The 26,627-nt window shown below is 37.3% G+C and overlaps 1 protein-coding gene across 17 annotated transcripts in view, besides 1 other annotated feature; it reads right to left on the minus strand.

The window, feature by feature from the left end:
• Positions 1–26,627, minus strand: part of NLGN4X (neuroligin 4 X-linked) — a 338,826-nt gene that overhangs the window by 118,627 nt on the left and 193,572 nt on the right. For 11 of the 17 annotated variants that reach the window (NM_181332.3, NM_001282145.2, NM_001441324.1 and 8 more), the window contains one exon: positions 20,612–20,764. In NM_181332.3, the coding sequence (NP_851849.1) occupies positions 20,612–20,764 (153 nt within the window). Of the gene's footprint in view, positions 1–20,611; positions 20,765–24,022; positions 24,083–26,627 lie in introns of all 17 variants that reach the window. The other 6 variants (XM_005274564.4, XM_011545548.3, XM_005274565.3 and 3 more) reach the window with 1 other exon arrangement.
• Positions 18,380–18,953: an enhancer, noted in NCBI's record as "OCT4-NANOG hESC enhancer chrX:5945089-5945662 (GRCh37/hg19 assembly coordinates)". NCBI's record gives its function as "activates a minimal SCP1, AML or CMV promoter by ChIP-STARR-seq in naive H9 embryonic stem cells {active_cell/tissue: H9 hESC(naive)}" and the evidence as "EXISTENCE:reporter gene assay evidence [ECO:0000049][PMID:30033119]".

The following is a 26,627-nucleotide window of genomic DNA, read 5'->3' on the forward strand; positions in this document are numbered from 1 at the left end:
TTTATTTTACTGTGATATAGAGAATATGAAATTGATCATTTAAACTATTTTTTGGTGTATAATTGAGTGGCCTTAAGAACAGTCACATTATTGTCCAACTGTCCCCACCATCTATCTTCAGAACATTTTGTACCTTTCCAAACTGAAACTCTATCCATTAGGAAATAATTTTCCATTCTCTCCGCCTCTCAGCCGCACACAAACACCATTCAACTTTTTGCCTCTGTGAATTTGACAACTCTACGTACCTCATATTGGTAAAATCATACAGCTTTTGTCCTTTTGTGACTAGCATGTAGCTTATTTCTCTTAGAATGATGTCCTCAAGGTTTATTTATGTTGTAGCATGTATCAGAATTTCCTTTCTTTTAAGGGCTGAATAATATTCCATTTCAGCAGTGTGTGTGTGTGTGTGTACACGCATAAATATATACATATATATCACTTGTTTATCCATTCATCCATCAATGGATAGTTGGCTAGTTCAAAAGTTCAGTTTTTAGCTATTGTGAATAACATGGTTAAGGACTGCGTATACAAATATCTCCTGGAATTCCTGCTTTCAATTCTTTTGAGTATATACCCAGAGGTAGAATTGGAGTATATACCCGGAGGTAGAATTGTTGGATCACATATGGTAGTTCCATGTTTACTTTTTTGAGGAACAGCCAAAGAGTTTTCCACAATGACTGTACCATCTTACATTCCCACCAGCAATGTGAAAGAGTTCCAGTTTCTCCACATCTCCATTACAACTTCTTATTTTACGTTTACTTTATTAACAGCCATCCTAATGGATATGATTTCCATGATCTGAAAACATGATTTCTTGTGTATTATTGAGAATGTCAACAATTGAGATTTTCAATGTACTGTCCCAGGCTCCTAAGACTCAACAATGAATGAAACAAACAACAATTAATGCCCTTGAAGAGCTGACATTTCGGTGGGTGGGTACTGACTGGAAGAAAAGCAATTGAGTTGCAGTATAATTGTGGCCAAGATGGAACGAGTCATAGATTTGACTGGAAATTGGATCCACTTCTGCCACTGTCAAGTTTTGTGACCCTGACCACAAGCTTTCATTTCTTCATTTTTCAAATGTGGTTGGTTGTCCAGGCCCGTGGGAACACGTATGAAGACATACACCACTTTCACAACACAGGGGGCCCCTGTTTCAGCCAGATCCAAGAGAATCTGCTCTCTGTTCACAGAATGAACACATCTAAATCATAACTCTCTATCCTGCATTTTTCTTCTGTTTTGTCTCTTCTTACATTTTCTTTTCAGGTTCTATGGCGATTTGAATTTGAGACTCAATTCCAAATGTATCCCACGTCCAGTTATTCCAATGTGATGGAGAATCACAAAGTGAAGCAAGTGGGATATACTGCTAACCATGAATAAGAGGTTAGAATGTCTTGTTCTGATTAAGAGCAGTCAATTAGGGCTAATTTCCTGTAGGAGTACAGATAAATATCTTGCCTATAACTTGCAGGTGAGTGACTACAAAACTTGCATTTATCTAGCAACCTTCAGTACCATTCTGCTGACTGCTGACATCAGGAAATATCCCTTTGCTGCCTAGTTAGTGTTGTTGTCATGAATTTGGGGGTGGGAGTGGGGGTGCTTCCTGCTTGTAGACCCTCACCTTTAGACCTCCTGGATCTCCCCTATGAACCTGCCATTTAAAATGCTCAATCAGCCTCCAGGACTCTAACAAAGACCCTTCCATCTGTTATAATTGATGAATGAGTCTGTAGTTTAGTGATCCTACTGCCTTCTGCATTAAGTATTTGAATTATACTTTTTGGACAATATGAATATCTCAAAGTTCTTTTTATTTTATTATTATTATTATTATTATTATTATTATTTTAGACGAAGTCTTGCTCTGTCGCCCAGGGTGGAGTGCAGTGGTACAATCTCAGCTCATTACAACCTCCGCCTCCCAGGCTCCAGCGATTCTTGGGTCTCAGCCTCCCAAGTAGCTGGGATTACATGTTTGTGAGACCATGCCCAGCTAATTTTTGTATTCATAGTAGAGACGGGGTATTGCCATGTTGGCCAGGCTGGTCTCAAACTCCTGGTCAAGTGATCCACCTCCCATAGCCTCCCAACGTGCTGGGATAACAGGCGTGAGTCACTGTGCCCAGCCTCAAATATCTTTTTCTACATCAATTTAGGGATTACTCATTTTGAATCACAATAATCTCTATTTACCAAACAACAAAAGGAAGCTTTCAAATTTGAACTTCAAATAAATGAGCTCAGGATAAATTACAGGCAAACACTACTAACTTCCTATCATTGGTATATTCAAAAGTTAAATGAAAATTCCACTGCAAATTAAAGAATAGTAAATGGGACTCATTAATAATATCCTAGTTGTACTCTTCCATCCATATCTTAAAGTGTTTAATAATCTATTAATCTATACTTGCACCAGAACTATTATTTCACAATATAAAGTATCTCAGAGTCAAGAGACTTTCCTAAATATGATAATAAAAAAGAAAGAAATGTTGGCACTATGAAAACCTGCTGTTAGTCTTACCCACAAGATCCTTTATATTTAAACCAATAAGCTTGCCAACCTGTGGCAAATGAGAGCATTCATGCTGGCCAAAAGTAAAGCAAGCGTATTTCCATTCAAATGAATGAATCTCTACCAATACCCAACATCTCAAATTCAGAAATATATATATATATATATATATGTATACACACATACATATCTACTTCTACAGCAGGAATTTCTGGCATGATCCTAGTAAAATTTTTAAAAGTCTAAAGAACTTCTTTATAATGGCCATTTTTATTTTCACCGGCCAAACACTCTGCTGGAGATGCAATAAGATGATACCATCTGAAAGAAAAATATCTCTCCACCGATCAGTGAATTAAGATCTCATGAGGTTTAGGTATCGTTTTTCTCCATCTAGGTCCTATAATCCATGGCCTAAAATTGGCTTTCACCAGAATATAGGTCCTACCACCGCCAGGGGTCAAGGCAGCATCTGTGAATCAGACACCATTAACACCATCTTCTGGAGAACACCTGACTTGTTTGAACGTTATGTAATCGTTACTCACCTGTCTTTAAAACCAGGAAAGGATGTTACACGATCTCTTCATGGTACCGTGGGGTGAGGAAAAAGTAAAGATAAAAAATAACACCATCTCACAAATCTTGGGTTCTGGTAAATCAGATATGTTCTAAAGAGAAGGCTATGAAACAGTTGAGTTTGAAAAAAAAAATGAGGCATTACAAGGCCATTGATTTCATTAAAAGTCCATGAGTCGTTTTAAAACTTGAGATATATTTGAATAAGACCCTTTTTTAAAACCTGCATTAATCTTTGATTTTAATTTTTAGGAACCTCCATTTTCACATGGCACATGCCCAAATTGCAATTCCAAGGCAGAGCATTAATGAGCATTTGTAATCAGATTTAATCACAGAGGGAAAAGACAGAAAGAATATCCAAGGTAAAAGGTTTTGCTTTATATTTATAGCCTGTAATTTAAGAAGGAAGTGTGAAATATAGCTTTGCGTATTGCTGGAGCAAAAGCACAAGTTTTGTGGCCAACGGGGAAAAACGCTTTTACTCCTTGTCAAACTGATGGAGAAGTTTTAAAGGCTCAGGAAATAAACTTTCAGATACTGCATGACTACATTATTTGGAAGCAAAGAGGATGCAAGAAGGAGATGAAGAATCCCAGATTGTCCTTAGATCTTCTTGCCAGAGTGTGGCCTAGTAAGGAGAAAGCCAGGTGGCATCCTGAATACATTGGTTGTACACACATGTGTAGTGTAAATATCTGAAACACCTATATTCATACATATATATTGCAATAATGATGTGTTGGGTGGAGTGGGTTGCGTAATATCCTCCAAAAATACATGTCCACCTGGAAACTCAGAATGTGACCCTATTTGAAAATAGGGTCTTTGCAGATATAATTAGTTAAGGATCTGCAGATAAAATTATCCTGAATTGAGGGTATAACCCTAAATCCAATGACTGGTATCTTTATAAGAAAAGGAGACGACACATACAATAGAGGGAAGACAGCCTTGGGAAGATAGAGACAAACACCGAGGCCACCAGAGCTGAAAAGGCAAGGAAGGATCTTTTTCTGGAACCACCCAGGGAAAGGCAGCCCTGCCAACACGTTTATTTTGAACATCTGGTTTCCCAAACTATGAGAAAGAGTAAATTTCTCTCTTTTAAAGCCATCACATTTGTGGTCATTTGTTATGGCCGCTCTAGAAAACTAATACATGGAGATTACAGGATCATTTAGAAAATGTGCCAGCCAATTGCAAAATTCAGCAGAACTCTTAGAAAACCATGGTTTATGGTCTTTTCATAATGAGACATTTAAAATACCCATGGAAAGACCTAAAGAAAAAAAAATTCTACCGTAGAGCTCTACTGTTTTGCTTTTATAATTCTCAAAATCTGTTAAAAATATAAAGATATGTAGATTTTTCTAAACTACAGGTTTCAATTCAAGATCAAATGCATGCCACAAATATAAAATATCTCCATTCCAGCTAACCTATGTGTAATGAATTATGATACAGGTATACATAGATATTTCGGGGAACATGGAATCTCCAGTGTTTGTGAAAAAGAAACAGCTGCTGAGTGTAAACAGTGGAAATAAACACGGTTTACATGAAACTGGGCATTCACTGATTTTGAGAATCAGTTCACTCAAACTAAAAAAAAAAAAAAATGAGTAAATAGATTCACTCCTTTTTTAATTAGCTTGCATTTTGCAATTTGGAGTCAAAAACCCTGCAACGGCTAATCATTCAGAAACTGCTTATTGTCCGGTAGACACTAGGGAGAGAGAGGTAGTATGAGCTATGACCACAGCCGTCAAGGACCTCAGAAACTGGTGTCAGGAAGCACACCTATAATCCCAGCATTTTGGGAGGCTGAGGCCGGTGGATCACTTGAGCCTAGGGGTTCACGACCAGCCTGGGCAACATGGTGAAACCCCCTCTGTAAACAAATATAAAACTTAGCTGGGCGTGGTGGTGCATGTCTGTAGTCCCAGCTTCTCAGGAGGGTGAGATAGGAGGATCAATTGACCCAAGAGGCTGGGACTTCAGTGAGCTATGATTATGACACTGCACTCCAACCTATCTGAGAGAGCAAAACCTCATCTCTAAAATAAAATAAGAATAAATCAATTTTAAAAAGTGAACATCCTGGCCAGGCACGGTGACTCACGCCTGTAATCCCAGCACTTTAAGAGGCCAAGGAGAGCGGATCACGAGGTCAGGAGATCAACACCATCCTGGCCAACATGGTGAAAACCCGTCTCTAGTAAAATACAAAAAAATTAGCCAGGCATGGTGGTGCGGGCCTGTAGTCCCAGCTACTCGGGAGGCTGAGGCAAGGGAATCACTTGAACCCGGGAGGGGGAGGTTGCAGTGAGCTGAGATCGCGCCATTGCACTCCAGCCTGGCAACAGAGCAAGACTCCATCTCAGAGAGAGAAAAAAAAAAAAAAGTGAGGATCTTAAGATGAGAACTTAACCCGGTTCATCTGGATGAATCTAGGTAATCATAATGTTTTTTGTTTGTTTGTTTTTTAAAATGGAAGGTTAGAAACAGAGAATGAGATCTAAGATATGTAGCCAGTCTTCAAAAGAAGACAAACAGACAAACCAAGGAAATGGATTCTCTCTTTGAATGTGAACACATTTGGGACTTTTAGCACCCAGAACTGTGAGATAATAAATCTGCATTGCTTTTAATTCCCTAGAGTTAACATTAGAGTTATAACAAGTTGTGATACCTTGTTTTAGCAGCAATAGGAAAGAAACAAATATAGATACCAAGTAAGGAATGTTTTTCGTGAAGGAGAGAGTCATCGAGAACTCTAAATGTTCTGGAAAATCAAAATCAAAATTCAAAATTTTCCAGAAAATCGAACCCTGAGAGTGCAGAGTGGAAGGCATTAATGGAACTGATAAGTAGTTTCATGGAGTAGAAGAGCTAAATTCTGATCGAAATGCCTTTTATTTCTTGGGTGGATTATGCAACAACCTTCTAACCTAATGCCCCTTTACATAGACAGCCATTTCCTTTCTCACTAAGAACAATACACTAGTCCTTTAAAGGCATATAAAATGTGGCTCATGCTGACATCTCTGAAATCAGGTGCTACTATCCCCTTCACCACTACTTTCCAGCTGCACTGATATTCTCAGGGACTCTGTGGCCACAGGGCCTTTGCACTGGATCTTTCCTTAGCCCAAGATGCTGTTCCTCCAGGTAACTGTATGGATCACTCCCTCACATCAGTTTTGCCTTATCTGTGAAACTTTCCATAACCACCTTAGTCAAAATTTTGGCACAAAATTTCTAATTTAGCACCCTTCTCTACTAAATATTTCTCCATAGCACTTGTGATATCATATTCTACTGTGTATTTTACGATACTTGTCTGTCGTTGTTTTTTCCCCTACTGGATAGAAATGCTGTAGGATTGGGGATTTTTTCTCTGTTTTGTTTGCTACTCCATTTTCAATGGAAGTTGTTATACCATGTGTCAAACAGCAGGTTGTCAATATCTGTTTCTTGAATGAAAGAAGAATGAATGAATGAAAACCACTACTACATCTTCCTTGGCAAAGCTAGTTTTGTATATATAGAAAAAACATTTTAACTTCACTTAAACTAGAAACTCTATCTCACTCTCTCTCTCTCTGTCTCCCTCTCTTTCTCTTATTATTACTAGTATTTTTTTAAATCCAGGGCTCATTACAAAACCTTGTAAGGAACGGAGGGATGCCTTGTCCATTTTCTATTGACAGTTATAAAGAGTTATATGCCTCATAGTCAATGAATAAATTTGCACTGCACTTTGGTCAATGATGCCTTCCCCCAATAGACTGATCAAGTCCTGCCTTACTCAGCATTTACATTCCTGAGTCAGCAATTGACAGAATCAAATCCCCAGTCATGGTGAACTGATTGAAACGAACCCTTCTTCACAGACACATTGATGGCACTCTATCCTAATACCCTTTATCTGTCCCGGCATCCTTATATTGTCTCCATACAATGATGAGACAGCCACAAGGGACGGGATAGCAGTGGACTGTCACGATAACCATGGGACTTGTGAGATATAGTAAGTGGACAAGCCTGCTTAAACATATATGAGTCAATATTCAGAGTCATTGGTCAATGAGGCTGAAGATTATGTTTTCAGAAACATGAGTAATAAGAATGTGCCATCAAGAAAGTGGAGGTGGAAGACACAGAATGGGAGTGTTTGTGAATCCCACATGTGGTAAGGAACATGTATCCACATTATACTACTTAAAAGTACCCCTCCTAAACCTCAGTAATGAAAAGATAATCCAATTAAAATAGGCAAAGGATCTGAATAGATATTTTTCCAAAGGATTTACACACATGTCCAATAAGCACATGAATAGGTGTTCAACATCATTAGTCATCAGGAAAAATGCATTCTCATTCTCTGCCACCTTGCATCCAATCCATCAGCAAATCCTGTTGCATCTGTAAGACACGCAGAACAACCTCTTCTTTTTTATTTTCTTTGCATTCTCACTGGTACTGCCCTGGTTTAAGCTGGTATCATTTCTTGAGTAGATTACCTCTTGCCTACTTTTTGGGGATGTAGGAGAGAAGAGATACGGGACTTCTTTTTGGAATGATGTAAATATTCAAAAATAAACCCCCAAACATGATATCACTTTACACCCATTAGGATGGCTATAATTAAAAAGACAGATGAGAACAAGTGTGAGTGAGGATGTGGAGAAGTTAAAACTTTTGTGCATTGATGGTGAAAATGTAAAATGGTACACCTATTTTGGAAAATAATTTGAAAGATTCTCAAATATTTAAACACAGAGTTCATGATATGACCTATCGATTCGGCTCCTATATCCCCAATCAAGAAAAATGAAATATATGTCCATACAAAAACTTGCACATGAACGTTCATGGCACAATTATTGAGAACAGCCAGAAACTGGAAATGATCCCAATGTCTAGCAACAGATGGATGGATAAACAAAGTGTGGTATATCCATAAAATGAAATATTACCGAACCATAAAAAATAAAAGAGTAGAGATGCATGCTACAACATGGATGAGCCTCAAAAACATTAAGGGAATGAAGTCAGACACACAAAAAAGCATGTATTATATGATTTAATTTACATGAAATGCCCCCAAAAGGCAAATCTATATAGACAGGTAGATAGTTAGTGGAAGCCTATCTCCTGGGGACCTGGGAGAGAAGAGGTATGGGATTTCTCTTTGGAATGACGTCAATGTTCAAAAATTAGATGGTGTTGCTGGTGTCACAATGTTGTGCATATACTAAAGGCCATTGAATTGCACACTTCAAACGTGCACGCTGGATGTAAGTTGTTTCAAATAAAGGAAGGAGACAATGAAAAATAGGAGTTGGAGATAAGCTCAACGGGTCACTTACATGGTAAGGATCACAAGAAGATTAAGAAACATGAAGATGTATCAAAAGCCATTAAAAGTATCAGAAGTGCCAGAGAAAATGCTTATGACATTTCTGTGGCCCTCAAGAGAATAGTTCTGATGAAATATGATTGAAAAGAAGAAAGCTACTCATTTCTTTCAAGATGAGAAATGCTAAGCATGTTTTAAACAAAGAGGAATGAAGAAGGATGAATGCTATTCCTAAGTAATCTTGTAAGTTCATGCTTAGAAGGAAAAATTAAACAGCAATGAAGGAAAAAGATACCTAGAGGTTCGCAATATATTGAACACAGGCATTTTGGTGGGGTAGCCTCCATGTGTTCAAAAGCACAGGATGGATTTATAATAATGTGTTTATTCTACCCACCTGTTTAAGACTATAGCCAAATTATTACACAGACATTCCCGGACTTACAATGGTTTGATTTATGATTTTTGATCTTAAGATGATACAAAAATGATATTCAGTCAGTAGAAATCATATTTTGAATTTTGATATATTCCCAAGCTAGCAATATGCAGTACCATAGTCTCTTTGGATGCCAGGCAGCGGTCTGTAGCTCCCAGTCAGCCACACAATCACAAGGGCAAACAACTGCTACTCTGCAGTGTACATGAAACATTCAACACTTTATTTATAAAATAGGATTTGTGTTAGATGATGTCACCCAACTGTAGGCTAATGTAAGTGTTATAAGTATGTTCAATGTCAGCCAAGCTAAGCTATGATGTTTGGTAGGTTAGATGTATTGATGCATTTTCAACTAATGACATCTTACATTTACAACGGGTTTATTGGGATATAATCCCACTGTGAATCAAGGAACATATTTTATATATGTATACATACACATTAGCATGTATACATATATAGACACATATATATACACACATATAGATCTGTGTGTGCATCACAAGGGCAAACAACTGATACATGTATATGTATACACACATATGTATGTATGTACACATATATGTATGTATACACACATAGATTATACACACCCATATGCACCCACACCCACATATATACACATATATGCGCTATATATGTGTATATATATGTTTACCACCAAGTATCTAAGACCAACTGGGACATCTAAACAGATACTGGAATATTTTAGTAAAGAGGCAGACACTACTTTAAACCTTACCAAATATTTCTTAAAACAAACAGGAAATAGTTTATCATTCCAAAATGTTCTCCCAACACCAGTGCAAAGCTTAGTTTTCTTGTGTACAAATCGTAGTGTTTCTCTGTGAGATCATGTTATGCCTGTCTACACTGAAATGATGTTTTTTTGTTGTTCTTTTTAATGTTTAAAGATGGGTTCTCACTATGTTGCCCAGGCTGCTCTTGAACTCCTAAGCTCCAAAGATCGTCAGCCTCGCGAGTAGCTGAGACTACAGGCATGCAACACTGCACCCAGTGCTGAAATGCTTATCATTATGTGTTTATCATACCTGCCTGTTTATGATTTACAATGATGTGTTGATTTTACCCATCTGTTTATGACTACAGCCCTATAACTGGACACAGCCTTCTCTCTATAACATCTGAGCCTCTAATAAATGCCACTATACTTAACACAGTGAAAATCAGTGCATACAATCTCAAATAATTAACCGAATCAACACAGACTTTCTAGTGACTTATCTTCATAAAGGCCCTAGCTCATTGAAGCAATGTTGCGTTGAGCATTCTAAAATATTCCTGACTTTTTACACTGAAAATTAAACACTTCATTCAAAAAAGCGATTATTATTATTTTTAGTCCAAGGATAAAGTATCTTAAGAATATGGCTGGACGTGCCAATCAATATGTTACAATTTTATTTGAAACATATATTTATATCGCTAAATGCAGGGTGTACCTGCCATAATTTGGTTATAATTTAGTCCCTAGGAAATTTACTTTGCACCTGTATGTTTCATCCCCTAGGGTTCATTTCCATAAAGCTAATGACTTATTAACGTTGGAATGGACAAAAATAAGACAATTATACTAGAACACAACACATCTGTCTTTGTATCACTGCTGTCATGCATGTACATATGTGCATATTCATGCTTCTTGTAGAATTGCCTGTGCTATTACAGGCGGGTAGGCAAATGTCAGGGGAAAAAAAGCTGCAGGCCAGAATATGTGTAGTAGTCTTACATTTTTTTAAACTTTATGGGTACATAGTAAGTGTATACATTTGTGGGGTACTTGAGATGTTTTGGTACAGGCATGCACTGCATAATAATCACGTAGTCTTTAAACATCCCGCTCAGATTGCCTTTTAGAGATTTTTCCATTATCCTACTCGAAAGGACTAATTTCCTTGAATATATGTAGATACTGACAGAATTATCACCAGAACCCTAATTCCAATGTACTTGAATTTGGCTCTCAATTTCAATGCTTCTCCCTGGAACTTTCCATCATCCCTTGGGATACTCATCATACTCTTATTTTCATTTAAAGCACAACTTATGTCCTTCTGTCCCCAAGGAGAAAGAGGGCACGTCAACCTCATCAACTAAAAATCATCAACCTTTCACATACTGGATGAGAAGCAAAATGAAGAAAACAGGCTGAAGAGAGAAAGGGATGGTGTCTTTTAGAATTAATAATCTTAAGAGACTGTTTTGAATGTAAAACTTTCAAAGACAGAACATTTTTAAGGCATATTCTCTGTGACTACTAACTCATGCTTAAATGACATTATATAATCAATTAACTGGGAATTATATATTGATGGAATAGATTCTTCTGTGATTTCTGTTTGAATATTTTGATTTCTAAATATGGTTATGCATGTAAAAATAAAATTTCAGCTTCTTTAAAGAAATCCTGAATCGTTTATAAATAGATCAAGGAGAGTCTCCATAGCATGACAGATGCCAGATGATAATTTTGTGTATTTGGGATTGGAAAAAAGAAGTCTTTGAAGAGAAATCTGCACTCCCATGTTCATTGCAGCACTAATCACAACAGCTGAAATATGGAATCAACCTGAATGTCCATCATTAGATGAATGAATAAAGAAAATGGGGTTTATACACACAAGGGACTATTATTCTACCTCAAAAAAAAGGAAAGAAGTTGTGTCATTTGGGACTACATGGATGAACCAGAGGACATTATGTTAAGTGATACAAGCCAGACACAGAAAGACAAATATCACATGTTCTTACTTATATGTGGAATCTAAAAAAAAGTCAAGCTTACAGAAGCAGAGAGTAGAATGTTCTCTTACAGAACTTGAAGCTGGAGGTGGAGAGGAAACGGGAGATGTTGGCCAAAGGTTACAAAGTTTCAGTTGGCAGGAAAAAGTTCAAAAGATCTGTTCAATATGGCAAACAAAGTTGAATCACAAGGAATTGAATATTTGAACATCTCTAAGAAAGTAGATTTTAAGTGTTTGCACCAGAAAAATAAGCATTTGAAGTAATGCACTTGTGAATTAGCTCGATTTAGCCATTTCTCAATGGATACATATTTCAAAACATCACTTTGTACATGATCAATATATTCAATTTTTATTTGATGATTAAATGAATACATTAGGGAAAAAAGCACAAAATAAAAAAAATTCTTTTCTACCTTGTCTCCACTCCCTCCCTTGATTTTCTTTTGAGTCTTTTTTAAAAATTTGAGACAGGATTTCACTCTGTTGCTGAGACTGGAGTGCAATCACAGCACACTGCAGCCTCGAACTCCTAGGCTCAAGCAATCCTCCTGCCTCAGCTTTTCAAGTAGCTGAGACACCAGGCATACATCACCACATCTGGCTAATTTTTTCTTTTTCCTTCCTTCTTTTCTCTCTCTCTCTCTCTCTCTCTCTCTCTCTCTCTCTCTCTCTCTCCCTCCCTCCCTCCCTCCCTCCCTCCCTCCCTCTCTCTCTCTCTCCCCCTCTCCCTCTCTCTTTCTTTCTTTCTTTCTGAGACAGGGTCTCACTAGGTTGTCCAGGCTGATCTGGAACTCCTGGCCTCAAGGAATCCTCCCACCTTGGCCTCCCACAGTGCTGGGATTACAGGTGAGAGCCACTGCACCTAGCCTTCCCCTGATTTTCCTTGCCCAATAAATACCGTTCCATCTGATGTCTCGCTTGTTGTTGAGTCAGCTGAGGACGAGGGAGCCTCTTTGCTCTGCTGTTCCCATCAACTATTACATCAATGGCACCTTCCTGGTGAGAGAGTCCTTATCCCACTGCAGTCGTCCCCATCTCTGCTCCATTTGCCTCTCAGGTCCTAATGACAAAGCACTCATCCTTAATTTCCCCTGACCTTCTTCACATCCTGAATAAATCCAATGAATGCAGTGGGCATTTTGAGCCACTAGGAGGCAGAAGAGGAAAGTCCAAGCAAACGATCATTCTGAGAGCAAAAAACATGATCCTGGTTTTGTTTGCCCCACCAAAGACCTGTCCACACCTATCAATCTGCAGCCACAACAACCATGGGATTACAGTGTTTCCAAGTGTGTATTCAATGCATGGAAACCTCATTATAAAGAAGATGATGATGAAAAACAAGACATTGTGTTGTGTTTTTTTGTTTGTTTTTTTTTTTGTTTTGCAAAGTGTCTTGGTTTTTCTTTATCTGATAATTTCTGGATTAGAGGTTGCCCTATCTTCTGCAATGTGTTCACTCTATTGCTGTGTTATCTACTGCATGGACCCCTGCCAACTCCCCAGGCTGGCTTTACCGATAACATCTGCCACCCAGCCCACAAAGAATCTTATTCTAAAGGCTCCCATTCTTCCTTCCACCTTTTGCTACTTCCTGGGTTTGAGTGCTCACACACCATTCATCTTGTCTCAGGATTTCACTTTCTCACCCTTCTCTCATGCTTCTTTTACGTCTCTACTTTTGTTTATGTATTTCTCACTAAGTACAATGCTTAACTTTCCTTTCTCCTCATTTAACTTTTTGCAGTGTTTTGTTTTAGTAACGCCTGGGTCCTGTTTTAGACAGAGAGAGGCAATTCTTCCAGTCAAAGTAGGCCATTTACAGAAATCAAATCGGGGGAATCTGAGACATTTTGGTTAGAGGAAGAGAAGAGAGGGATTCTAATGAAACCAGGAGACTGGCATCAAGGTGTGTTGATTCTCGAAAAAGGAAATGATGCTTTCTTTTTTAATATATACGCTTATGAACTTTTGACTTGATACATAAGATGTGTTCCATTTATCATTTCAAATAAAATCCTTCATAAAGCATTAAAGAAAAGAAATATTGTTAGAAAAAAAGAAATAAAATAGCAAATGTACCAAAAATAGAGCAACTCCTCTAACTTCCAAAGGGGAGAAGAACATACAGGTCATTTATAAGATAGCTTGACATTTTTCAGCAGGTGTGCTTCAGGGAAATTATAGTGACCCATTGAACTCCCACTAATGTCAGATGCATGTCACATAAATGCACACCCATGGAATTGAGGCTGTAACTCTTGGGAAGAACGTATTGGTCCTCTCTTCTAATGATTTCCAGGCTTCTTTTGTTGAGTGGAATATTACATGGCTCACACATATCACAAAAGCATAAAGGTGAGACCACTCTGGCCGATGTTGCAAGAATGCTTCAGAGCTCAGCCCACCCTCCCTCAATTTCAGAGGAAAACCCTACAAGGGACACCAGAACAGGGAAAGTGACCACATTATTAGGCTGAGCACGTGCATATGGGTTAAGTCACCCAAATTATGACTACAAATGCTGTTTCTGCTATGCATGTTGGTTGCTTTTATATCAAACCATTTCTGTCTTATATTCAATTATGACTCCAAAGCGTCTAATAGGTTTATTCAATGAATGGTCTTAAAGAGAAAGACAACTTCAGAAGACCATGACGCAATCTACCCTCAGATGAAAATTTTCAGGATAGCTATAATATGTGAAAGATTGTAAGAAATGCACCGAAATGATCATTTGACTCAATTTATGCACACGACACAGCAAGCCAGCAATGACATGGGAACTGGGGGTAGGACACCAAATTTCCTGATGAAACACTAGTTCTACTGCACCGAAGAGCTTTGATGTGACAAATGCCATTGTTGTGGTTAATGCCACCATCACCGTGAACCAAAGCAAACCAGTATCGATTGAATGGAAATGAATCAGCCTTCAAGGACCCACTTTGAGGAACTTAAAAATACACTGTAAGCATCTTATCACAATTGTGTATCTTGATCAGCAGTAAGAACTTTTTTGCATAATGATAAAAGCTACATCTGATGCTAAAGTGATACTCAATTTCTTCACTCATTCCATGGTTTACTAATTCATACTTGACATTAATTAAGAAGGCTGTGGATGAGTTCTGAGTGGTAAGTCAGAGCTCTGGCTTCAGTTACACCCGGGTTTCAGTCCCTGCTCTGACTGCTAGAAGGTGTGATGCCATGAGTAAATCCCATTACCTCAAAGCATTCATCTCCTCATAGGTAGGACATAAGGTTAACTCTTCCAAGGGAGTTTACGAAGATTAAATGAAGTAATATCTGCCAGCCACATAGAGGCACACAATGAGTTGATGTTACATAGTTGGGACTCTTTTGAAGCAACAATTAATTTCAGCATACATGAAGCATGAAGTCATAGGATCACCAAAAAGGTGATAGTACCATGTGAGCTAAACGGAAATACATATTTAAATGGAGGTAGATGAAATCCACTGCAGGTACAGACAGACTTGCACTTGGAGACAACTGGAAAGGGGAAGGAATAAATAAGTTCCAGGTATTTCCATCAAAAAGCATGAGCAAGATGCATTCTCTTTTACATCGAAGGTCTTTGGACTATCATGAACAACAACAACAAAAAAAAAACAGATTGGGGAGAACTCAAGTTATACTAAAGTAAGGAACTAAGATGGAGAAAAGAGTATTTATTGATTCAGTAATGGCCTTACAGGGATTCAGATTTATCAGATTATCCTCTGCAGTTTCTGTCTGGAGGTGATTGTTCTGAAAGTTTATTACCTGGATTAATGTCTAATCTTCTTAGGGGTAAATGATACGTATGGATGTTGTGAGGTGAATGGGTGATAGGGCATAGGTACTCAAGTGGGTAGGTGAGACCAGGCAAATGCCCTGGCACGTACAGCTCAGCAAGGATTTTGCTGGCTTCTGGCTTCTGAGCAGATAGGAACACCACACACCCTGGCAATGACTAATCTGAGAGGCATTGGTGAACTTGAGGTTTTCCAAATTCTTGAATATATATGTCAGAGACGTTTGAACCAGAGCACCTCCATCTTGAATAAGGGCTGGGTAACGTAAGGCTGGGACCTACTGGGCTGCATTCCCAAGAAGTTAGGCATTCTTAGCCACAGGATGAGACAGGAGGTCAGCACAAGATACAGGCCACAAAGACCTTGCTGATAAAAGGATGCAGTAAAAAAAAACAGCCGAAACCCACCAAAACCAAGATGGCAACTAGAGTGATGTCTGGTCATCCTCACTACTCATTATACGCTAATTATACACTAATTACAATGCATTAGCATGCTAAAAGACCCTTCCACAAGCACCATGACAGCTTACAAATGCCATGACAATGTCAGGAAGTTACCCTATATGGTCTAAAAAGGGGAGGAACCCTTAGTTCCAATAATTGCCACCCCTTTCCCGGAAATCTCATGAATAACCAACCCCTTGCTTAGCATATAATCAAGAAATAATCATAAAAATAGCCAACTAGCAGCCCTCGGGCTGCTCTGCTTATGGAGCAGTCATTCTTTATTCCTTTACTTTCCTAATAAACTTACTTTCACTTTACGGATTTGCCTCCAATTCCTTCTTGCACGAGAATCAAGAACCCTCTCTTAGGGTCTGGATTAGGATCCCTTTCTGGTAACATATACACCTTCCTAGTGACAAGGGTGTATAGCAGAACACATAGGAAATCTGTTTATAGAAGTGCAGCTTCTTTAAAAACAAACTGAACACCAATTCAATCAGAAGACACTTCATGTAGATATAAATAATTACTTTATAGCTATAATGATACATCTCAATTTGCCTGGGACAATCCCAGTTTATTCATAGCACATGAGCAACTCTCAAACATGTCCTGGATTGGATCATAAATTATATGGCCAATGGCTAGCAAGATTGTGTAGCACAGTTCTGATTATTTTTTAAAAAATAGCAAACATGATGATCTTCTGATTTATTTAATGTCTACAAGTGTCTTGTAATGTTATTTTAAATTAACATGGTTCAGTCTGGATGCCAATATTTGATAGATATTAGTTAGCCATTACAGGTTGGGTCAGCTACAATTCTTACTGTGGATAAACAGTAGTATTAATACAATGCATAATGGTATTAATAACACTAGAAATTGTAGTGTGACTGGGTATAATGGTTGCTGCTGAGAGCCTATGAAACTTCATCTACATGAGTCCATTAAATCTTTTTTAAAAGGTTATTTTTTGGCCAGGCACAGTAGCTCATGCTGATAATCCCAGCACTTTGGGAGGCCAAGGCAGGTGGATCTCCTGAGGTCAGGAGTTTGAGACCAGCCTGGCCAAAATGGCAAAACCCCGTCTCTACTAAAAATACAAAAATTAGCGGGGCGTGGTGGCAGGCGCCTGTAATCCCAGCTACTGCGGAGGCTGAGGCAGGAGAAGCGCTTGGACCCGGGAGGCAGAGGTTGCAGTGAGCCGAGATCATGCCACTGCCCTCCAGCCTGGGCAATAAAAGCGAGACTCCATCTCAAAAAAAAAAAAAAAGAAAAGAAAAAAGTTATTTTTTTATTGACAAGCAGATTATATATTAATGAGGTAAAGTGTGGTATTTTGAACCATGGAACTTTTATACTGTACAACAACCTTGCAAGGGAGAGACCACTGCCTTCTACATCTAAGGAAAGAGTCTGAGGAAACGCTAGCTGACTTTCTCAAGGCAGAGGTAGAGGAAAGTTGTTAGCTCCTGTCTGTCTCTGGCTGCGATCTACATTCTTTCCAATGCCAGCATTCCGCTTCCATTATGGGCATGTTTCATCTTTTTAATCCTCTCTTTTGGGTAACAGAGAATAGCATTTGTTACTCCATTAAAAAAAAAAAATCTTAAAACAATATTTTTCCATTCCTCAGGTAGGAAGATAACATTTATGCATTTATGACTTTTACTGGAAGAAAAAGAACTCAAAGAATATTTCAACTTTTTGCCTAAAATTGTATCTACTTGTATGAAATGCACTCACTGAAATGATCATTGCAGTGCCTGCTGTGTATTTTATTTGATCATCTTTTTAAATATCTGGATGCCAAAGGTTTAAAAACATTTTTTCAAGACCGATAATAGGAGTTTCCTGCAAGCAAAAAGTAAATGCCGCCTAGCTGTTTTCAAGAGGACAATAGTAAATGCAAGATCCATGATAAAAACCAACGCAGTCACATTTTAAAGTCTCTATCGTCCTGTAAAATCGGCAAACTTGGCACATTTCATTCCATCAAATGAAAGGGGGTCTGTAGTGTGCTTGGCTGTTCCACACTAGCTCATTGGAGGAATGTAAATAGACCGGCATAGAGATGCTAAATCGCTTCTTTTATTTCTTCCCCACCAATTTTACAGCTCTCTGTTATCTTATGACTTTTAAAAACTCTCCATAACAAAAAGTAGACTTAACAATTTTTCAATTAGTTTTTTTTTCCTCTAAAAAAAGTGTGTATACTTTCCAGGCTAATTTGCAAGATGTGCAATTGATTCACGAAGGGACAAAACTGATAAAAAAAAAATCATAGTGTAGAGTTGCTTGATACAACTGAGCTTTAGGGGGAAAAGGAGATCAATTTATTTTGAAACTCTATCTTATCAGACACATCAATTCATCACGCATGCAACAGAATATTGTGTGGTTCCAGCAAAGCAAGAATTTTCTTGATGCCCACTGCTTCCCTCAGAAAAGCATGCCCAAGCTTTCTTCCGTGTGGCCGTGCTACAGGCAGTGCACACACTGCTCCCTTTGAAGAGGGCCTGTGCAATGCCCTCACACATACTTTCCTCCTTCCACCTCTTTGTCAGAATGAACCTTTTGTAAAACATCAAGAAGCACAATTTCCTGTTTCCAACACTAGTAGCCAAAGCAACTATCCAGCGCCTCTGAAAACTATTCAGTGAAGCGTGCAATTACTGCTATGCAAAAGTTCAGAGACATTATTCCGCCAAGATGTGGCTCACAGAAAACTACAAAAAATATAGGAAATAAAGCCAACGACATAATAAGTTTTTTGACACTAAAAGGTTTTTTGGTGGTGTTTATTTTCTTTAATGCAGAAACCAACCTGGAATTTTGAGTTCTTTATCAATGTTTCAAAAGATACAACTTTAGCAACACCTGTGACTGATTTGCATTTCAAAGTAAGAAATGCATTTCTCTTAGGGTTTCTTACAACACCTCTTAGGGTTTCTCAGCAATTCACCACCTTTTAGGGCTTCTTACAGGTTAATGTTTTCACATAGGAAAAAAAAAAACCCACTCAAAATGAAATGAAGTCATCTGATTGAAAAGAAAATATTCTTGGCCATATTTGAAGAAAACATTTTCAGTCATATTTCTTGTTTGACAGACCTCCTTTAGTCCATCTTATTTTGCTTTTTATTTTAATTAATTTATTACTAGTATTATTATTATTTTTTTTTTTTTGAGAAAAGTCTCACTCGGTCACCCAGGCTGGAGTGCAATGGCGCTATCTCTGCTCATTGCAACCTCGACCTACTGGGTTCCAGAGATTCTCCCGCCTCAGCCTCCTGAGTAGCTGGGATTACAGGCGCCTGCCATCAGGCCCAGTTAATTTTTGTATTTTTAGTAGAGACAGGGTTTCACCACTTTGGTCAGGCTGTTTTCTAATTCCTGACCTCAAGTGATCTGCCTGCCTGGGCCTCCCAAAGTGCTGGGATTATAGGCGAGAGCCACCACACCTGGCCTTCATTTTGTTTTGTATTTCATATTGTATCATAATCACACTGGAACCAATATACACATCTCTCTCATGGCTAACTTGTTAAAAACTTTATCTTCTATACCATTTTAATGCATTTTTGCCTGGAAAACAAATGTTTTTACATAGGTCTTAGGAATATTATTCACAAACTAACCAACACCAGGAAAGGCCATCTCAGAAGGTACTGAAATCTGACTCTGAAGATGTATAATTTTCCAACCTACAATTAGAAGAAGATGAATGATGGCCGGGCGTAGTGGCTCACACCTGTAATCCCAGCACTTTGGAAGGCCGAGGCAGGCGGATCACGAGGTCAGGAGTTCGAGACCAGCCTGGTCAATATGGTGAAACCCTGTCTCTATTAAAAACACAAAAATTAGCTGAGTGTGGTGGCATGCGCCTGTAGTCCCAGCTACTTGGGAGGCTGAGGCAGAAGAATCACTTGAACCCGGGAGGCAGAGGTTGTAGTGAGCCAAGATCGCACCACTGCACTCCAGCCTGGGCGACAGAGTGAGATTCCATCTCAAAGAAAAAAAAAAAAAAGAAAGAAAGAAAAGAAATGAAACATCAAAACAAGGAGGAACTAAACTTGAATTTCCATGTATTTAGCCTTTAATCGTAGATCATCAATGGACAAAAGTCAACTAACAGCTAAGTTTCCCTGCATGCAAATGCAATGGAACCAAAACAACAGATCTTCCAAAGGCTCAACATAATCAGTTAGAGAATTGGATAAAATCTTTTCCTCCACACAATATACTGATTCATACAATGACACAATCAGAAAAGAAAGCTAAGATCTATGGCCATTCCCAACTATAATATCACCAAATATGTGTTCATTGTACAGGTCTATGTAGACAAACATACATTCATTGAACTCCAAGGGAGAAACATGCTATAAATAAAATTTCATTTCATCTTTAAGATCTTAAAGTCTGCATTGGTTTGAGAAGGGATTCATGACCATGTTGCACAAAGGTAGTAAAAGGAATAAACATATCCAATCACATAAAGTAAATACCGTGAAGTGGAATTAACCAGGAACTGGAATAACAGGATTCAAATCCACGAGCCCCGTCAAAACGAGAAGTGGACTTTTCATGTTTCCTCTTGCTCAGTCATTCACATGATGAAATCACTTACCTAGTATTCCCAGACGGTAGTTAATGGTGATCACGATGACGTTTCCGTAGCTTGCCAAAATGCTGCCGTCAATCATGTTGCCGGTGCCCTCCATGTAAGATCCCCCATGGATATAGACCATGACGGGCTTCTTACTGTTCTGATCATGAATATCTGGAAAAAAAAGCCAAGTAAGGAAACACAATAAAGAATCACACTGACTCACCAATGCTAAATTAAGAAAAAAGGAGATTCACTGATTTCCCTATTTTGACTTGAATTAAGCACATTTATTTTTATGGATGATATGACCCTTGATAAGAGTGTCTAAGGAAAATGATCAATGCTATTACGTTTTCTATTTATGGAAATGGTATTTTAAGAAGCATACAGACATTTAGCGTACTCTGCTCATCTAAGCTTCTATATATATCTAAAGCACTAAAAGAAATGGTTTTAGGTAAAGTACACATTTCCTAAATTTTGCTCAAACCCTAAAATGTGATTTAAATTGAATAAACACATGGGACCCTTGATGAAATATATTTTATCTTCTAATTAAGTATAAAATCAACTTCAAAATTATAATTAATTTTAATATAGTTGCATCTTAATTCGCAGGTGAGTGTACAGATTCATCTTCAATTTAACAATAAAAACATAAAAGTAGTAGTGAAGCTATAAACTATCAATAAGGGACAGATAATGACAAGAAAGCAAAATCAACAGTTAAAAATTATTAACTGAACAGAAATAGGGAAAAAAAAGAAAAGATGTCCAAGCAAATGTCTTTGTTCCAGTGATTACAGTAACATACTAACATACTTAGGTGACAAAAATAAAAGAGATGTAATAAAAAATGGCAAAAGAATCCAAACTATTTAAATGCTTTATATTTTCACAGGGAATATAAACTCCCATTGTGACTTGCAACCAATGATTCCTCTTGGTAATTTACTTTATTATTTAAATTAACAATGATGTAAAAACAATGATCTGTGATGATAGAAAGTTGGAGACCATCTGTAGGGCCTGCTTTGTGAAAAAGACCTGTTTTATAACATTAATCAGCCATTAGGGCTGCATTTAATCTTTGGAAGACTGACCTCACGTATAAATATTTCTGGATACAGATATGTGTGTGTGTGTGTGTGTGTGTGTGTGTACAATTTAAATATCTTTGTAACTAAAAGAAAACTCAAGTATTTATGCATATTTATTTTCAATTTCTTCATCAATAAAGTTTTTTTTTCCTCATAATCCACAGGGACACTTTTGAAATACCACAAAGGAATTCTGAGGATATGAATTACCATCGTTTGGATGGTGGCTCCAATTTGAATGAATTATGATCACAATTTTACTGGGTGCATACAGAAGACACGACATACCCATTGGTCACAGTAAAGCACACAAAAGAGTGTCAAGTTACCCAAGTATTTATTTGCAGATATTTAATCCACGGCAGAAAAGTGTCTTTTGTTTTCTCATATAAAATTCAAATATGAAGTAAAAATCTTCTATTAATCATTTATTCATCATACACTACGGGAAATGTCTTCTGCTATATGAATAAGAAATGGCTTTTCTCATGATCCACTGCTTCTTTCTGGTTCCTAATTTGCTGTTTTTGGCCTCATTTCTTTTACCATTACCAGCGGTTGCCTAGTAAATTGTGGAAAAAAGAGTAAGTAGAGATTTTGAAGGGCTGCTTTAAAGTGCTCCCTTGGAAAATATGTGAGATTAACATCTCTTACCTTTCATAAAATATAGAACAAGACTCTCTTGAACTTGTGGAAGTAATAACCAGCTGTTATATTAATGCAAAGTCAAAAAATCATAACTTAACAATATGAAATGAAAATTAGATGGCATTTTAATGGTAATAAAGATTCACTGGGAACACTGTGAAAACAGATTCTAATTATCGAGAGGAAATGTATTAAAAAGAGAAGGCCAAACAGGATACAAATTAGAGCAGTATAAGATATGAGACAAAAGTTTATTTCATTTTTATGTATTTGCTCAATACTGATAAAATGTCAGGCATTCAGAAGCCCTTATCAAAGAAGGGGCTACCTGAAGCAGGTGTAGATTTTGATCTCCTATGGCCATCAGAATGGAGATCTCTCAGAGAGCTACTTGAGACAGTGACAGCTCTATGAGCTCAGTAAAAGTAACAATACTCAAAATGTTAAGGGAAGACTGGGCACAGCAAGGGTGTTGGCAAGATTTCTTTTCTTGGAGAACAGTTGATTTATGAAGATAAGCAAGGAGGGGAGCAACTACAAGAATTGGTCAAAAGACCCTGTCATGGACGTTGGGCTTGACCAGCAAGGATAATTCAGGACTCACTTTTGGGCTTTAAATTGCCTTTCAGACAGAGACCCAAAGGTCCAGCCAGGACCTTAATGGAGTTCCATGCATTTTGCTACCCAGATGGGAAAAATGTGCTTTTAGCTAATCCTATAGAGCCTTACCAATGAAGAAGGGCTTGCTTGAGTACTTTTTTTGTTGCTTCTCCTCTTTAAAAAAAAAAAAAATCATTTCTTGTGCAGAAAGGGCAGAAAAACAGCATGCGAGTTGTCTGCATGAGTACCTCAGACCTACCATCTTTTAAAAAAAAATCCTTTCACTTCTGGTAGACAATGTGTTGAGCAATTTGGTAGCCTTAAGAAGAAACTTCACAGCAACAAAACATTTTAAGGAGAAAAACGTTTTCAAAAAAGCCGTGGTGTGAAAAGAAAGATGAACATAGCTAGCTTTTTGTCCTTTTTCAGTTCTGAGATACTCTTATCTTCCCCACCCCCCCTTAAATGCTGTAAAAGGCAGTCCTGAATGCATCAGGGCTCGTTAACAACAGCATCTCATTAAAACACTTTTTGGTGTACTTCACTGTGAGCAGATTATCAGAAATCTATGTTGGAATCAATATGTTTGTGAAGAAAAAAAAAACTGATATTTCAGCCCCCCCCCCCCCAAAAAAAATTCTTCTAAGGTGCTGTACAGTTTTGTAGTTCATAAAAATAATTAAGAAGACCAAAGCTCCAAAGTAGTATATTAACTTACAAAATAACATTTGGAAGGGAGAAAATAGACTATACATGCATGTTTTAAAATTCCATTTTCTCTTCTTGCGACCAAGCCAAAAAAAAAAAAAAAAGGGCTTCTCTGTAAACAGTAGTTCATTACTCTTTTCATGTTTAGAAACAATGTTTATACTTCTCACAGTGATTTGTTTCCTGTACATGGTAACTGGGATTAAAAAATGACAGTGGTTTCTATACAAGAAGAAAATAATTAAGGAAGCACACCAAAGTGTACTAGTTTTAAATAAGGGGAGAAAAAACAGATTGAAATGAAAAAAAAAAAGAGAGATAGATAGATATAAAATCATGCACTGGGGTTGAGCTTTGAAAAAACAAAAAATACCTTCGTCTTCACCACGGTCATTACTCGTTATATCATCTGCGTTTTTCTTTGTGTTGGCTCCTGGGGTCATATTGAGAAGGAAAATAAAGGGAAAAAAGAGAATTCAAAAACAACAGGTTTTCAAAAAATTCAGAAAAGAGAGAGATGCTACCCAGAAAAAGAAAAAAAGAAAAGAATGTAACACAAAAAGTTGAAATTTGTTACATTTGGATTTCAAAAAAATGAGATAGGGAAATGCAAAATGCATATAAACATAAAGATGTCAAGAAGAACAAATTCAAAATGTTACTTGCAAAAAATATTAGATATCCTGTGAATATGCAGTTGGGGGTTAAAATGATGCTACTGCAAAAAAAAAAATGCTAACGTGAGTTGTTTTAAAAAAAGAAAAAATTAAATTATTAGAAAAGACATTTCCCACATTCTTTAAAGAAATGCTTATGGCGTATTCAATGGTCCTCTGATGTTAACATGTTGTAATTTAAATAAATTTTTGAAATGTTACTGACACATTATGGTTAGAAATTTTCATAAGGCAAGCAAAAACACAGTAAACATGGAAGGACTTTATTCAAAATATTATATAATTGACATTAATTTCATGCATTAAAAACTTATAAACATGCAATCTCAAAAAGTCAGAATTGTGACTAATTTAAATCACTAAGATTTACCTCTACTCTGTGTTTAGAGAAGCACTACCCACTATTCACTCTTGTTTTCTTCTATTAAAATCTACTACATGCAATAAATATTTAAGTCAGGACAAAACATTATAGACCATGTCCTATGTGTTTAAAATAGTTATTAAATATCATTTGAAAGTTATGCCCTCTGTGTGTAAAATAGCTATTAAATATCGTTTGAAGATCATGTCCTCTGTGTTTAAAATAGTTACTAAATATCATTTGAAAGTTATTGGTACGTGAATTTGTTGAAGAAAATAAAAATCGAAGTCATCTACCTTGATCACCTCAATAAGATCTGCATAGGAATTTTAATATAGGCAAAATGCAGGAAGAGGCCCTTAAGGATAGCAAAAAACTAGCTTATGCTCTTAGTGCACAGAGCACCATTTTGGTTTTTATAGTTTCCACATTTAAAAGGTGTGAACATTTAATTTTGCTTGAATTAATTAATTGGCTCCATTGCTTCCTTCTCATAGACAGATGCAGCCCATATGTGCATATCCCACTATCAATAACTTTAACTGCGTCAATCAATCAAGACAGTCTTTGCCTTCCTATAGGGTTCTAGGATAAGCGGATTAAGGCAAAGGGAAAATACTGTCATCTCCAACACTTGTGAATGGAAAACACTCCTCTGTTCTACATAACTCAGAAGAGCTTAAACATATTTTGAAACCAAGACTTGATAATGCTGTTTCCATATATCAAACAAAAGTCAAGTAATGTCCATTTCATGGGGGCTTAATACCTTTTAAAACCAGACCTGGGTGGTGCGTGGGTGTGATAGCCTTGCTGATCCACTTTCTGTCTTTATAAGATTTGCCTTCTCTAGGCATTTCATATAAATGAACTCATATAATATGCGGTATTTTGTGTCTGGTTTCTTTTACTTAGCATATGTTTTCAATGTCCTTTCATACTGTAGCATGCATCAATACTTCATTCCTTTTTATGGCTAAATTATTTTCCATTGTATGGGTATACCACATCTTTTAAATCCATTTATTTGTTGAGTGACATTTGGTTTATTTCTACTTGTTGATTATTATTAATAAAGCTGCTATGAACATTTGTGTACTATTTTTTGCATGGATATATGTTTTCATCTCTATTGCATAGATACCTAGGGGTGAAATTGCTGTTTCATAAGGCAAATTTATGCTTAATGTTTTAATAAACTGACAGACTATTTTCCAAATCAGCTGCAATACCTGGCATTCTCACCAACGGTGGTATAAAGGGTCTCTATTTCTCTAATACCTAGCCAACACTTGCTAATATCCTTTTTTGTTATAACCATACTAATGGATGTGAAATGGTGTCTCATCATAGGTTTTTTTTTTTTTTTTTTCAAAGTCTTGCTCTGTTGCCCAGGCTAGAGTGCAGTGGTACGATCTCGGCTCACGACAACCTCCACCTCCTGGGTTTAAGCAATTCTCGTGCCTCAGCCTCTCAAGTGGCTGGGACTACAGGCATGCACCACTATTCCTGTTTAATTTTTGTATTTTTAGTAGACATGGGTCTTGCCCTGTTGGCCAGGTTGGTCTTGAACTCCTGCCTCAAGCGATCCACTCATCTTGGCCTCCTAAAGTGCTGGGATTACAAGCATGAGCCACTGCACCTGGCCTCATTGTAGTTTTCATTTGCATTTAGCTAATGTTTAGTAACTAATGATATTAAATATCTTCTCATGTACACTGTCTTTGCAGAAATGTCTATTAATTTATTTTTGCCCATTAAAAAATAATTTCTTTCCTTCTTATTATTGAATAGTAAGTGGTTTGTTTACATATTTTCTAAATAAAAGTCTTTTATTGGGAATATGGTTGGCAAATCTCCTCTCCCAGTTTATGGCTTGTCTTTTGGTTTTCTCAACAAATAGCACTTTATGTTCTCAATAGTGCCTTTTGAAGTGT

Source organism: Homo sapiens, chromosome X (genome assembly GCF_000001405.40).
Source record: "Homo sapiens chromosome X, GRCh38.p14 Primary Assembly".
NCBI lineage: Eukaryota > Metazoa > Chordata > Mammalia > Primates > Hominidae > Homo > Homo sapiens.